Here is a 15940-nt window from a genome sequence, read left to right as displayed (position 1 = left end):
TTTAAGCAGTAAAAGGAAAGTTAACGAGATTTTTTGAGTAAAACATGTGACTTCAAAGAGATTTTTACCCTTGAAGTGAGCTGAGTCCCAGATGTGCTGGGCTGTGAAGTCGCCTTCCTCTGACACTGGTGGGTCTTCAGGGAAGCCGGGGAGAAACTGTATTAGTCTGTTTTCACCCTGTTGGTGAAGACATACCTGAGACTGGGTAATTTATAAAGAAAAAGAGGTTTAATGGACTCACAGTTCCACATGGCTGGGGAGGCCTCACAATCATAGTGGAAGGCAAAAGGCATGCCTTACATAGCCGCAGACAAGAGAGAGTGAGGACCAAGCAAAAGGGTTTTCCTCGTAGAAAACCATCAGATCTCGTGAGACTTACTCACTGCCATGAGAACGGTATGGGGGAACTGCCCCTGTGATTCAATTATCTCCTACCAAGTCCCTCCCACAACAAGTGGGAGTGATGGGAGCTACAATTCAAGATGAGATATGGGTGGGAACACAGCCAAACCATACCAGAAACAGTACCTTTTTTTTTTTTTTTTTTTTTTTAAGATCTATAAATATAAAGGCAGTGTAGAAACCTCAGGGAGCCTGGACTTGGCACAGCCTAGAACTAACACAGTTCAGATTCGCTTTGCCTGGAGGACTGGAAGGATGGGCCTGCCTGGGGTATGAGAGACCAGAGCTTTCTGGCAAAAATCCTCAGCCCAAGGTTAGGCACAGTGCAAATTTGGTCCCAGGACATCAGGCCAGTTTGAGAGGCCCAAAGAGCTATGCCTGAGTCCCAGAGGCCAGTGGATTAGTTCAAGAACATTAAACCAAGGTGTGTGTTGCAAGAAATTTCGCTAAGGTGTTTGTTGCAAAAGATACATTAAAATCTTAAGTCCTGGGGCCTGTGAAGTGGCCTTCTTTGGAAATAGGATTTTTGCAGATGACATCGAGATGTGAGCTAGGATGAGGTCATCAGGGTGGGTCCTAATCCAACATGACTGATGTCCTTACTGAAGAACATCTGAAGAGGAGGAGAGACACACGGGGTCATGGCTGTGTGAAGACGGAGGTGGAGACCGGGCTGACGCACCAGCAATGCCAGAAGAGGGAAGAGGGGAGGGAAGCTTCCCAGGAGGGAGCACGGCCCTGCCGATACCGTGATGTCAGGCTTCTGGGATCCAGAACTGTAAGGGAACAAATTTCTGTTGTTTAAAGGCACCCAGTTTGTGATGCTTTACAACACACCACAAATGATGGATGACGAATACAGCATCCATCATAACACAGAAGCCCAGTGACCCAGCAGCCGCGGTGGCGCGCTCTGGCAATTTCCAAAGAGACCGCTGCTAGCGTCCCAGCAGTTATATCCACACTGAGTTAGACACTAATGGGGTTTGGGACACAAGACCCTGAAATCTGGCACCTTGCATATTCCCGCAGTTCACTGCCATCAGGTGACACCCGCTCTGTGTACTCACCCTTTTCCACCACTGTCCGCTCTCCATCAAGCTTAGCCTAAAGATACACAGGCCTCCCTGTGCCTTTTGGTCTTCATATCTAAAGGTGCCTGTGTCATGTAAAAATTACATACAATGAAATAAATTCGCCTGCTTTTCTCTTGTTTATCTGTCTTTTATGATAGGTGTCTCAGCCATAAACCTAGCAATGGGTGAGGAAATAACTTTTTCTTCCCTTACAGAACTGGATTCAGCACCGCAAAACTGAAACCGCCTCCAGAAAAGAGCCTCTTGCGAGAACGCAGAGGCTTGCCTTTCTCTCCTGTCGCTGAGAGTCCCTGGCTGGCTTGGGGACCCCATGGTGCTGCTCGCTCTTGCCTGTTGCTGGTGGGGGCTTCCTGCTCCTGACCTCATACTACCTCTGCGGCAGAGGGCCTGAGACAGAGGGGATCCCTGCCCATCCCGCCAGCCCTCTTCTCAGGAAGCTTCTGGAATCTCCACCCAAAAACTTCACTGACATTCTGCTGACCAGAGCGTGGTCATATGGCCACCCCATCTCACAAGGGGGCTGGAAAAATGCATTTTCTTCAGCTGCGCACCTTATACCCCACAGCAGTACCTACGGGCCTGGTAGTGAGGAAGAGGATGGGTAACGGAAGTTAGGTCAGCAGCTAGCAGTGTTGGCCACCAGGGGAGAGTCACAGCCACTTTCTGGGCCTGGTGGTGACTTCACATTGGTTGCCAGGAGGATGATTTTGAAGATACCGTAAGTGTTAGTAATAGTAACGCTGCTACCGGAGTGCTAGGAATGATGGCAGCTGGGGCTGGAGCTCCTGCTGAGCTGGGGAGAGAGAGCCTGGCTGTGCTTTCTTGTTTCAGTTTGTTTTGCTTTGTTTGTTTTACCTGCAGGCCTGTCGAGCCCTCTTGTAACTAATCTTCCAGTGTCTGCCGCTGAAGGTGTCCAGTAGCTAACTTCAGGACTCTGTCATCCCCTCTTCATTTGGGGGAATTTCCTCTACTTACTTGAAACATTCAGATTTTCCACTGTCAGTTTTGGGTGAATGAACTATGCTTATTACTTTTAATAAAAGTCTTCAAAATCTCATCAGTGCCATGTCTTTTTCTTAGGCCTTGAAAATCATTCTTGGTTTATTTTTGAGAAATATTTAGGCCAGGTGTCGTGGCTCATGCCTGTAATCCCAGCACTTTGCGAGGCTGAGGCAGGAGGATTACTTGAGGCCAGGCTGGGCCACATATCGAGATTCCGTCTCCACAAAAACTAAAAAATTAGCCAGATGTCATGGTGCATACCTGTAGTCCCAGCTACTTGGGAGACTGAGGTGGAAGGATGACTTGAGCCCAGGAGCTTGAGGCTGCAGTGAGCTATGACACTGCCAGTTCACTGCAGTATGGGCAACACAGTGACACCCTGTCTCAAAAAAAACACCAACATTAATTTAAAAAAATTCAAATAGTCATGAAAATCGTTCTTGATTTCAGTTTTAGAGTGCTGCTTATTATTTTGAAAGACTTAATCTTAGTTAAATTGTATGTTCTGTTTCCAAATTTCTCCTTACTTGTAACTTAAAATTGATGTCTCCTTTATATATTGAAATGTCGTTTCTGAGATATTTCAGTCGTGAGATTTTTTTCGGTTTGGTGCTATTCTGGTGTCTAATAATAATCACTTAGGAAAAAACACAAAGATAATTTCCCAGGCTTAAGTGTTTTTTTTCTTTAGTAGATTCAATGTACCTTTAATTTCACTAAACACATATTGAGAGATTCACTTCCCATTTTTACACAGAGCCCGTCATAATGTCCTAATTAATAAGTGTGCTCCATATACTTGGGACTAAAAGAACAGAAAATTTTCCTGTTTGGATAAAAGTCCTGATGCTCATGTTTGACAGCGATACATGCTATTTTGGGGAATTTAACAGGATGAAGCGATGCCTAGCGACCCGAGGCTGCATTTTTTTCTGCCTTGTTTGACGCACACACACCCTGTCTTGTTCCCATACCAGCCCTGCCCCGCAGCAGCCGCATGTCCGCTGTGCATTTTGTGTTTGTCGTGTACCTGTGCAAAGCCCATGTTGTTCTGTCTGCATGTTCTTGTCTCCTCTGTTCCTTTTTTCCATTCAGTGCCTCCAGGTCTCTATGTCTGTCTCGAATCCGATGCTTCTCAGCACTGCACCATCATCTGTGGTGAGGCTTCCACTCCATTTTCCTTATCTGTTGTCCCTGGATGGTTTAGATTTGTGAAAGGGGCATTAAAGACAGGTCAGAGTAACCAACTGTGGTAACATCAGATGGAAGAGTGGCCCAGGCCAGGGAGACCCTGTGCAAAACCTCAGGTGGGAGTAAGCCTGCCGCTTACAGAGAACAGAAGTCAGGCTGGCCTCACTTGCACCGAGGGCATGGCTATAGGAGGATGCATAGAGGTAGAAGGGGCCAAATTAGACAGCCGACCTCCCTGAAAAGGGACTCCTGAGAAATTGAAAGGCAGAAATGGTCAATTCTCTTTAACCAGCTAAAGCGTTTGAAATTCCCACTATGTGCCAAGTTTTCTGCAGACTGTGTCTTCACCCTTACAATGGATTCAGTGTTGTGGTCCTTACTGTACTGATGAGGCTCAGGAGGCTCTGAGCTGAGTCACTCATCACAGTCACAGGAAAAGAGCCGGCCTGGGATTTCCACCCAGAACAACTCCACTCGCCCATACAGGCGCCCCTGCATCTCCACAGTGCAACAGACCGCAAGACCCTGCTGTCCTGAGTGACGGTGAGTTGAGCCAGCCATGAAGGACCTCTGGGTTTTCTCTCAGAGATGACTGAAGGAAAAGAGTATGGGCAAATCTGAAAGGAGATTAAGAACTGAAATCCCCAGGCCAGGCATGGTGACTCGCCTGTAATCCCAGGCACTTTGGAAGGCTGAGGTGGGTGGATCACTTGAGGTCAGGAGTTCAAGACCAGCCTGGCCAACATGATGAAACCCCATCTTTACTAAAAATACAAAAAAATTAGCCAGGCATGCTGGCACACACCTGTAATCCCAGCTACGCGTGAGGCTGAGGCAGGAGAATCGCTTGAACCTGGGAGGCAAAGGTTGCAGTGAGCAGAGATTGTGCCATTGCACTCCAGCCTGGGCGACAGAGCAAGACTCTGTATCAAAAAAAAAAAAAAAAAAAGAACTGAAACCCCCAAAACTTGTGAAACCAGCCCCAAGAATAACAGAAACAAATGAGGAGAGAACTATTAATATTGCAGTATATCTGATACATTTGTATAAACTTAACCAGAAAATAAAGGAGCTAATGCAGTAGCTGGCGTCTGTTACGATGAAATGCTGTCATGATACAGATGAGCAGCCTCTGGAGCCATCTGAGCAGAAGCCCGCTAGGGAAGCAATGGGGCCACGCCTCACAGCTGGGACTGGGAGCCACGCCTCACAGCTGGGACTGGGAGCTCCCACTGACATTTGGTTTCCGAGCCACTCCGGCTGCACTCGCAATCTTAGCCTTGAAGTCCAGTAGGTACCTTGCACCTTCTCTCTGGATGGGCCCCAACAGTGCAAAACAATAGGGTACATTTTCTGCTTTTAAAATTGTAGTGAAAAATTGGAGGAACACACTTGGCTGATAGAATGAATAAAGTGTGGTAATGAAGAATATTTGTAAGAAGATCTGTCTCATTTCCCTCTTAGGGCCTTCTTTCTTGACTCATAGAGGAAAAAAAGTGTCAACAGTGAGAAACTGCAGAAAAACTACCCAAAGGACAGGGAGGGTGAGCTGCCTGGGGCTCCTGAATCATTTCTGCAGGGTCTCTGTGCCTCCTTCCTTCCTTCCTCCACCCACAGGGTCTTTAGACACCCTGATTGATGGAGTCGCTGTGAGCCTGAGAGAAGGCCCAAGGTGTTGGAATTTCAGAGTGAAACTCAGAAGAATCGATAGTGGAGAAGAAAATAAAGGAAGCAGATCCAGCTTTCTTCATCGTGAAAATAGTAGTGGATCCTGGCCGAGGCACTGGGTGAATGTTAGTAAAGGCCGGGAGTGACCTTTACTAACCTGAAAAACAAGTCACAAAGCCAGCTGTGCCTGGCTTCATCTTCCAAGAGCATGTCAGGGATCAGTGTGTCACCTTATTGATACTGGAGCGTCTTAGGGTCCGTGCAAATTCCTGAAACTCATGGAATTTAATGGACAGATCTTCCTCCAGGGACTTACTGTCCTGGATTATGAAAACTACAACTGGACTTTGCTTACTTTATTCATCAGGCTCTAGGTGACCCATGGAGGCTGCAGAATTCTGCCGCCGTTAAATGTGTACTCATAAACACAGGGATATACCAACTTAAACAGCACACAGCTCTTCAGTGGACAAGGAGGGAGTTTGACAAGATGCTCTTGGTAGGGACTCATTTTGACCATAAAATTCTATAAACATAAGTATTTAGAAATCTAGGGACCAGGTTACAACCACCACTCTAACTGGATTAACTGGAAACACACACACACACGCACACAGAGGCATTTCATTGATGAAACAAATCCTGTCATATAACTAATACAGTCTAGCTTTAAATCCTATTCATCAAGCAAAGAATCCAATGGCAAACTGAGTGCATGTTTTGGGGCTGTCTGTAAGATATCCCAGTCTCTGTTTATTTCCAGTTGCTCTTCCCAACCCATACTCGACTATAGCGTGTCCCTCAAATGGGCTACACCATAGCAATCACCTGCGTACTTGATAAAAACACACAGCGCCCAGGGCTTTCCCCTAAGATTTTGATTTAGGGGGTCTGGTTGGGATGCAGAACCTGTATTTTTATCACACTTCTCATGTCATTCCTTTGATTCTGATGATTAGATAAGTCTGGGAAATCCTGACTTAAGTAAACTGCCCACGACTATTGCTGGCCCAGTTACATCTCGTTTAAGTGAAATTACATCTGGCTTAAATGAAATGATGGTTCCTGATCATAGCACTGATCCTTTGGAGCACCGAATGAGAACGCATTTGGATTGATCTATAATGGTTTCCTCATCACAGACCTTGGGGTGGTCTCAGAACTTTCTGCTACACAATCATTCTCTTAGCCCTTTCATTTTTTTTCCTTTTTTATTGAGACAGGGTCTCACTCTGTCACCGAGGCCAGAGTGCAATAGCGTGATCTTGGCTCACTGCAACCTTTGCCTCCCAGGCTCAAGTGATCCTCCCACCTCAGCCTCCCGATAGCTGGGACTACAGGTGTGTGCCACAAATGCCTAGCTAATTTTTTGTATTTTTCTTGGAGATGGGGTTTTGCCATGTTGCCCAGGCTTGTCTTGAACTCCTGGGCTCAAGCAATCCTCCTGCCTCAGGCTCCCAAAGTGCTGGGATCACAGGTGTGAGCAGCCACTCCGGCTTGCCCTTTCATTTTCCCTTAGTTTTATGTTCCTAGTTGTTTCTTGGCTAACTTTCATCTGTTTGAAATTTTCTCTAACCTAACATTCTATTACTCAGAATGCAATTGGGTTTTATTTTAGCTTTTAAGCTACCTTTATGTATTTTAAAATTATTTTCTCCTCATTTTTAAAATTTAGAATGACATAATTTATGGCACTATTTTTGAATCCTTAAAATATTATTTTAAATACTGTACATAATACCATCTTTCACTGTGTTATGCTAAGACAACATCCATCTCTTTTTTTACCAGTCTTAGCTTAGGTATCTAGCGCTCTATCCGACATCTTGATCTCCAGCGGCAGGAGCTTTACCTTCTTGACCAATTGACACTGGAAAGTCAAGGTGGAGGTCAAGTCAAAGCATCATAAGTGTCAGCTGGGGAGAATATGTGCTAAATGTCATCATCATGGAAAATTTTACAGTATGTACCTACTGTACAATTGCAATACATTGATTTGCACGTTGGCAATATAAAGAGGTTTAAATTCTCATCTTTGACAATCTTAAATTCTAGCTGCAGAGGTTAAGATGTGAATGTAAAACATTTTTTAAAAAGCGGAGGTTAAGATAGGAACGTAAAACATTTTTTTAAATTAAATATTTCTTTCAGAACAGGATTATTTATAAATCAGATGAGAAAGATTCCCAAAGCAAAATCAATCTTTGATGCTTGTATCAGATGTGTTCTATCTCCTTGTAATATGGAATTCTTCAGAAGGTAAGTTCCTTTCTAAAACATATCTTTTTTTTTTATTTTTTTTTTTGAGATGGAGTCTCGCTCTGTTGCCAGGCTGGAGTGCAGTGGTGCGACCTCGGCTCACTGCAACCTCCGCCTCCCGGGTTGAAGCGATTCTCTTGCCTTAGCCTCCTGAGTAGCTGGGACTACAGGCTCATGCTACAATGCCCAGCTAATTTTTGTATTTTTAGTAGAGACGGGGTTTCACCATGTTGGCCAGGATGGTCTCGATCTCTTGACCTCGTGATCCACCCGCCTCGGCCTCCCAAAGTGCTGGGATTACAGGCATGTGCCACCATGCCTGGCTCTAAAACTTGTCTTAATCTATTTTTTTATATTGTTATTATTTTTTTTGAGACGGAGTTTCACTCTTGTTGCCCAAGCTGGAGTGCAATGGCGTGATCTCAGGTCACTGTAACCTCCATCTCCCAGGTTCAAGTGATCCTCCTGCCTCAGCCTCCTGAGTAGCTGGGATTACAGGTGCTTGCCACCATGCCTGGTTAATATTTGTATTTTTAGTAGAGACAGGGTTTCACCATGTTGACCAGGCTGGTCTTGAACTCCTGACCTCAGGTGATCTGCCTTCCTCGGCCTCCCAAAGTGCTGGGATTACAGGCGTGAGCCACCGTGCCTGGCTCTTAATCTATTTTAAATACAACTTTGCACAGCCATATTCACAGTCTTTCATATTAGATATATTAAGGAATTGCTATTCTATAAAATGGTATTAAAACTATTTGCCAGTAAAGGAAGGACATATGTCTAATCAATAGGAAAGAACCAGGCATAATGTAAATGTAAAAAGTAAACAACAGTAACCCCTGGCCTTTGAGACTGTCAAGGAATTTAGGAAGCAGAAGGTAGAGGTGAGAGAAAAGTGGACATCATCTTTGAGGATCAAGAACAATTCCCTCAGGACTAGAAACTGACAAATTATATTACTCATGTCAACTGAAAATTAGCATTGCCCCTACCAAATATGCATGTATTGACAGAATAGAAATAACTCTCAGGAATGCACCTGCCAACAGAGCGTGGACTGTATCACTCCCTGAGCAATGACACTACATTTCCAATACCACACTGGGCTGGGCTGTAGGTGCAGAGTCAATAATGAGCACAATTGCATAATTGGTAGATAAGACAAATCCAAAACTTAACATTAGAAAGACATACTGTAATAATGGCAAAAGAGAGGAATAGAGATTGAGGAGAGACATTTCAAAACCTCTCCATTGTCTACCCTAACTGCACGCCTATGGTAGCTCCATCCACTAATCTTGGGCACACCAGGCACAGTCCCTGTTGCCTTATACATAGTATACTTGTATACCGTCTAACGCTCAGCAAAACCTCGCAAGATGGGTACTGTTACCTTTGCAATGTTACAGAGAAGAAAGTTGAGGCTCAGCATGAGATGTAGCCTGGTCAGAGTCAGGATGGTGGAGGAGGTAAAATCTGCCCTCTGGCCTGCTGAGTCCAAATCCCGTATAATCTGTGTGTGCCTTCACTGCAGCTGTGTGAAGATTGGCCTCCCTATTCCCCTGATACTGAACAGGTCCACAGTGTACCCAGGTGGACAGAGCCCAGTACCCGGCCCGAGGTCACTCCCTACATGGGAGAGTTTGGACTGGAACTTCCTTCATCTGGCCCCAAGCCCTCTTTCATGAGCTGGGGGTAGGTGAAGCAAGCCAGAGAGTGGGGATCTGGTCAGTGGCGGGCAGTGCCCATCCCCCAGGTAGAAGGGACTGTAGGGTACAAAGGGAGGTGTGGAGATGGGGTGGTAAGGAGCTGAGAAACCACATTCTGTCTTTAGAGCCATTTTGAAATTAGGATGAGTTGAGATGGTAGCAACCAGCTCTAAAACTGGGGCCTTTTTCCTCAACAAAGAATTTGAAAGCTGTGCCAGATCTGCTGGAATGTCCTCTTGGCTCTGCAACAAGGGAGATGGGTGGTTCCTAGCTCCTCCAGAGTCAGCCCTGGCCAGATAGAAGGCAATCTTCTCCAGAAACCAACCAGCCCACCGCGAGGATGCTTCCCATGGAGCAATTTAACAGAACGTCCAACTGGGAGAATCCTGCAGATTGTCACTGCAAAGGAGTGGCTTTGTGGTCATTTGCAGGGAGAGGTGTCTCTCTCATTTAGTGACCAATTCAGGCCCCGGCTATTAGCATTTGAATCAGGCAGCCGTGCTGTTTTGGTTGAAAAGAGAAACCAAGCCTTTGTTGTTGCAATTTAAGGGCTTAAGTAATTTTCTAGCATCCTTTAATCAGCTTGAATAGTTGGGGAAATGGCAACATATAGGAATAGTGTGTTCTGGCCTCGGAAATGCAAATGCCGCCCCTGGTCCTGAGGCTTTCCCACGGGAGCCTGGATCCTGCATGTGGCAGCTCCTGGGGATCGGAGGGTGTCTCTTGGCCAGCCATCCTTTCCATCAGAATTTCATTGAGCATCTTCAGAATATTCTCTTTGTTTGGATTAAACCAATCCAAGTAATTACAGAAACACAGCAGGGCTGGATCGAAATGCTGGTGGTCTAGGTCTTTTTTTCTTTCAGCCAATCCATATATATTTCTCACACACAAAAGGAGGCAAAAGGTGGAAGGTATGTGGCCCGTCCAAGGATAATATCCAAGTAGCTTAGTGCTTAACCTTCAGTGAAGGTAAGGCTCCTTCCAGGTGGCATGGAGTTATTTCAAGTAGTTTATGGCATTTAATTTACATGATTAGGAAACATCCTATTTAGTTTTGTAGCTAATAAAAATTACAAATTTTAAGTTTAAAAAGATGGAAGAACAAGTTTTCAAAAATCCTGTTTGCTCTTTTCCCTTTAGTTTGCATTGCATTTTCTTTTTTTAATTGTACTTTCAATTAATATTTGACAAATAATAATTATATGTATTCATGGGGTACATGGCAATGTTTTGATACATATATAGTGATCAGTGCTCTCTGTGGCTGTAGGATGGCTACAGTTAACAATAATATAGAATATAGTATCAAACAGCTTAACAGAGGATACTGAATGTCTCCAACACAAAAAATGAGAAATGTTTGAGACGATGGATGTGCATTGCATTTTCTTCTTTATAAATTATATTTCGTAATTGAAAAATAATAATTGTACTTATTCATGGGGTACATGGTGATGTTTCAATACATATAATGTATAGTGATCAGTGCTCTCTGCTGCTGTAGGATGACTATAGTTAATGATAACATATTGTATAGTATCAAACAGCTACACAGAGGATATTGAATGTCTCCAAAGCAAGGAAATGACAAATGTGTGAGATGATGGATGCACACTACATTTTCTTACAGTGTGTGTATAGAGACATGAAGATCTAGGATTCTCAGACATGGAGATGACCGAGCAAAACTCTTTTGGAAAACAAAGTGTCTTCGGAACAGTTGACGTGTCTGCAGCCAACCTCAGAATTTACCCAAGTCTGTTTATTTTGCACACAGCGGGTTGAACAGAAGCCCTGAAACCTGTGGATGCTCCTCTCCGCACAGTGAGGGGCTTCAATTCCTGGACCAAACAGACAGTGACCGGGCTGACCCTCAACCTCCTTGCTGAGCGTCCGAGGACAGGGGTCTGCAAAGCTCCCAGAGGTTGCTGCAAGCCCACCAAGCCCGGCCAGTGGGGAGTTGCCAGGGCCCCTTGCCTTTGGAAGAGCCTCGCCTTGGGGCTCCCTGCTAGGGAGGACGTGAGAAGGCAGCCACTCTGAGAGGTTCAGAGATAGCAAACGGCGAAAAGTCCTCCTTACTGCTGGGCCAGGCCAGGCTCACAACCATGCCAAAGCGCTCCTGGCATGAAGACACCGTTTCAGAAGGCATCCATGCACACCAGACCGCATTCCCTCTACTATTCCAGCTAAAATCTGTGCTTGCTTCCTTTCCCCACTTCACTTCCCCTCAAATAAGACAGGCAACTTGGCTCAACTAGGTCTGGCCCACTCCCTTTACTTCCTCTTCCTCTTTTCTGCTACCCCATCACTTCCTCCAGGAAGCCTTCTTGGATCTCTGGCCTTCACTCACCAACTCCTGCAGAAACTGGGGCTGAAATTACCTTCCTTGAATTACATTCTTTAGCTGTTTGAGAAGTAGAAGTGCCTCGGAGGCAGGTACCATTTCCTCTGATTACTGTGTCTCCTCCAATAGGCCTGAGTGCTTTCCCAAGAAAAGCAATTTGTCAGCAGCTGTTCCTAGGAGCTGATAAGAGACTGTGTGTTTGTTTCTGCCTTGGTGCTTGCTGTGTGGTGTGTACAGAGACAAATGGCCTGCAGGGCCGCGGGGCACCTGTCTTGCCTCCACATGAAGGGGAATCAGCCCCGACCTGCTGCTCTGTGGCCCTTTGGGCACCTCGCAGCCCTCCTCAGAGTCCCGGATGGCTCTGATGTCAGCCCAGCTGGGGAGCATCAGGCATTCATTTATTGGCTCTAGAGCCAATAATTCATTTATTGGCTCTAGAGCTGGTTCAAAAGTGAAACAGCAAGGACAAGAATGACTTCATGTCCACACAGAGCTGTCGTGAGAACCAAGTGAGGGAGTGCAGGGAAGCTTTCACTGCAGTGTTAGCAGAGAGACCTCCTTGTGACTGTCACCAGAGGGCAATAATTCGACCTGGGACAGGGCCCACAGGTAACCTGCACTCCCTTGGCCTCCAGGGCTGGACGAGGTCTGAAGGGAATTCCCCGTGGAGCACAGCCTCCTGGCCTCTGTCCCCATGATGTAGGTGGGGGAGGGGAGGGGACACTGTGCACTGAAGTTGTATCTTTTATTAGCATTAAGAGAACTAGGCACTTCTGAGTGCCTCTCTGTTCCAGGCAAGCTGCAAACTTCTTCATAAAAGTGATGTCACTTCACCTTGAGCCCTGTGAGTAACTAATCATTGTCACATATTGCAGATCAGAAAACTGAGGCTCAGAGAGGCTAGAGAGGCACATTCATGCTCACAGCCCGCGAGCAGCAGAGCCGGTACCGAAATCCTAACCTGTTCCGGGAGGCATCTGCTTCCACAGAGGGTGCTCTTTCAGCTCCCAGCTTCTTGGGTTTAGACCCGTTAGATACCAGGCTTTATTTGTAATTCTCTTCCAGAGTAAAAGGGAAATACAGTTTCTGTGGCTCTAATAATAGGTGGGTTTTAATGTCCCTCATACACGATCCATACAAGGCATGCGTGCAAGAACGCACGCGGCCTGCGATGTGGGGGGCTTTGTTCATCCTCCTTCCCTCAAGATGAATCCCTGCCCAAGGATTCCAGCAAGAAAAAATATTGAGGACATTATAACAACAGCCACTGTGTATTCAAGGAGTGCTGAGTCCGACAGCTTTCTCCTGTGTTTGCTTTTCTCTGTTTGGTGCTACCCCCAGCCAACTGCGGAGGGGAGCGGCTGGTTTGCAGATGTGGATGAAGAGGGCAGAGCTGGAGGTCTGGCCAGAGTCCGGTGGGTCAGGAGCAGCACAAGTGAGGCCTTGTCCTTCCTTAGCTCTAGATCTGGGGGTGGGGGGACGTGGAGTCGGAGAGCTGGAATTGTGAGTGTCTGGCGTTTCCCCACTAGGTAGCACTGGACTTCATAACCTGAGTTTCTGTGGAAACAGAAAAGGCATCAGTAGACAGTGGCTACCACCTAGGATTCAGAAAGGTCCAGTCCATTTGCACTCCACTGGATCTTGATGTGGAGGTGATTTAATTCTGGATCTTGATGTGGAGGTGGCCAGAGGACAGAGAAGTCAGCTTTGGTTTTAGAGAAATAAAGATCTAACATTGAATCTGTCTTAAAGACAGAACAAAACCAGAACCACCGCCACCTTTCTGTGCCTGGATTCCCTCCCACTTTCCTCCGTCTCCATGGCGGGTGTCACCTGGCAAAGCTGCCCCACAATCGGCATCCAAGGGGGATGAACTCACAGACGATCACAGGAGGTCTAACTGGTATTTCTTGGCAATAAGGTACTATTTTCCAAAATAGCAAAGAATTTTATGTATAAATACACATTTTAATAATCATCACTAGTCCAACTTTACCACATTTTGTTTTAAAAATTAATTTTCATATTCTGAATGTAACGAAAACAACAAATGTGAAAGTAGCCTTTGCTTCCCAAAGCTGGAGTGCACATCCCATGCCAACACCAGCAGGCTGCGGTCCAGCCCAGGGAGACAGGGACAGAAGCCCGGCTGCCCACAGCCTCCAGCACTGCTTCCCCTCAACTTCTTTTTTTTTTTTTTTTTTGAGACAGAGTCTTGCTCAGTCACCCAGGCTGGAGTCCAGTGGCATGATCTCGGCTCACTGCAACCTCTGCCTTCTGAGTTCAAGTGATTCTCCTGCCTCAGCCTCCCAAGTAGCTGGGATTACATGCACCCGCCGCCATGTCAGGCTAATTTTTGTATTTTTAGTGATATGGGGTTTCACTATGTTGGCCAGGCTGGTCTCGAACTCCTGACCTCAAGTGATCCGCCCACCTTGGCCTCCCAAAGTGCTGGGATTATATACAGCCATGAGCCACCATGCCCAACCCCCTTGACTTCTTACAATTCAAGAGCCTGTCCAGGAAAACAGATTCTCAGCAGAAGACAAGAAGACACCAAGTGGCCCTATGTGGCATGTGAGTAGTAAAAAAAAAAAAGAAAGAAAGAAATGAGAAATACTTGCAAAACAACAACAAACCCTCACACTACAGTGTTTGAGAAGAATTTAGCAGGGGAAAGGTAGAAAGAATTGGGAACTAAGAAACCTGAATTCCAGATTTGGTCTGGCAGTTTCCATCTGCAGGCTTCAGCCAGCCCTGCACCACCTTCTGCAACCCTTTCTGGATGTCCCTAGGGGAGGGGATGCCAGCTCTGGGCTCCCCCAGGCCGTTCATGTCCCCATCACATTTTCCTTCCCTGGTGGCACTGAATATGGCTGCTCATCTACTCTGTCTCCACCACCCTCTGCCCATGTTGGGAGCCCCGGGAGGGCCAAGGGCTGTGCTGCTCCACACGATATCACCTGCTTCTAGCTCAGGTTTTCTTCCACAAGATAAATCCCGCTCCTCCTCTTCTCACAGTGAAGCAGAGGAGCATTCTAGCTGCTCCGGTCAGCATGCCTGGCCTGCAGCATCCACTTTCCTGACAGCCTGCGTGCCTCAGCCCAGCTCGGCCTCAGTCTTCTTCTTTGTGTGGTGGATACAGTGATACCTTCTCCTGGGCTTGCTGGGAGGATTACATGCAGTAATGTGAGTAAGGTGCTTGACAGAACGCCTGGCCTGGTACGGGCTCTTGGAATGTTGAGTTCTTTGCATAAAGTTACATAAGTTACATCCATTCAGGTAGCAGTTGTTAAGTAGTGTACTTATAACAGAGTACCTGTGCCGGGCACCTCACATTCGTGACCAATAACCCCATAGAGAAGGGGAGATGGAGGCTGCAGGCCCCAGCGGGTCCTCGGCTGAGTTGGGCATCACACAGGCTTGGCACTGAAGCCTACGCTCCCTCTATGACCACCACGGCCTCCCTGTGTTCTGGACACAAAATCACGTGGAGTATCCAATTTAGGGTTTGCAAACTCACATTCAAGAAGTAGATGTCATTTGTCATCTAGTGCTGAAATTGACCCAAAGCTGCATCATTTGGTGTGCCTGCCTCCAGCTAGGGGGAGATCCAGATGCAGCCTGTTCTCTGGTCACATGCAAAGTGTGTTTGTGGACAGCCATGTTTAGCATTAGCCCAATTCGATGTGGCATAGTAAAAACACTGGGGTTCAGGCTTGTCAACACCTGCTTATCTATTTGGAGTGCTTTCCAGGTTGAGTGAAATGAACAGTTAATGTTTTTATTTATTTATTTATTTATTTATTTATTTATTTATTTATTTATTTATTTTTTAGACAGCGTCTCACTCTGCCACCTAGGCTGGAGTGCAGTGGTGCGATCTCGGCTCACTGCAACCTCTGCCTCCTGGGTTCAAGAGATTCTCCTGGCTCAGCCTCCCAAGTAGCTAGGATTACAGGTGCACACCACCACACCTGGCTAATTTTTGTAGTTTTAGTAGAGATGGTATTTCACCATGTCGGCCAGGCTGGTCTCGAACTCCTGACCTCAAGTGATCTACCTGCCTCAGCCTCCCAAAGTGCAAGGATTACAGGCCTAAGCCAGCTGAGTTAATAGTTTAATTAAAGTATCTTGCATCTTAAAATGTACCTCTCACAGTCTCTTCTCATAAATACGCAGCGCACAGCAGGTGACTTTTACAAAGCCCAGGAAAACTGGGTTCTGGAGCGGCCTGCAGAGCAGAGACCCCATGTTCGCTGCTG

The 15940-nt window shown here is 46.3% G+C and overlaps 2 annotated features.

Annotated features, from left to right (window-relative positions):
* Positions 703-1902: an enhancer, noted in NCBI's record as "CDK7 strongly-dependent group 2 enhancer chr6:166618881-166620080 (GRCh37/hg19 assembly coordinates)". NCBI's record gives its function as "activates an origin of replication core promoter dependent on BRD2, BRD4, P300/CBP, MED14 and CDK7 cofactors, with strong dependence on CDK7, by STARR-seq in HCT116 cells {active_cell/tissue: HCT116}" and the evidence as "EXISTENCE:reporter gene assay evidence [ECO:0000049][PMID:35650434]".
* Positions 9540-10087: an enhancer, noted in NCBI's record as "NANOG hESC enhancer chr6:166610696-166611243 (GRCh37/hg19 assembly coordinates)". NCBI's record gives its function as "activates a minimal SCP1, AML or CMV promoter by ChIP-STARR-seq in naive H9 embryonic stem cells {active_cell/tissue: H9 hESC(naive)}" and the evidence as "EXISTENCE:reporter gene assay evidence [ECO:0000049][PMID:30033119]".

This window comes from Homo sapiens, chromosome 6 (genome assembly GCF_000001405.40).
Source record: "Homo sapiens chromosome 6, GRCh38.p14 Primary Assembly".
Taxonomy (NCBI): Eukaryota; Metazoa; Chordata; class Mammalia; order Primates; family Hominidae; genus Homo; species Homo sapiens.
This window is presented reverse-complemented; position numbering and strand designations above follow the sequence as displayed.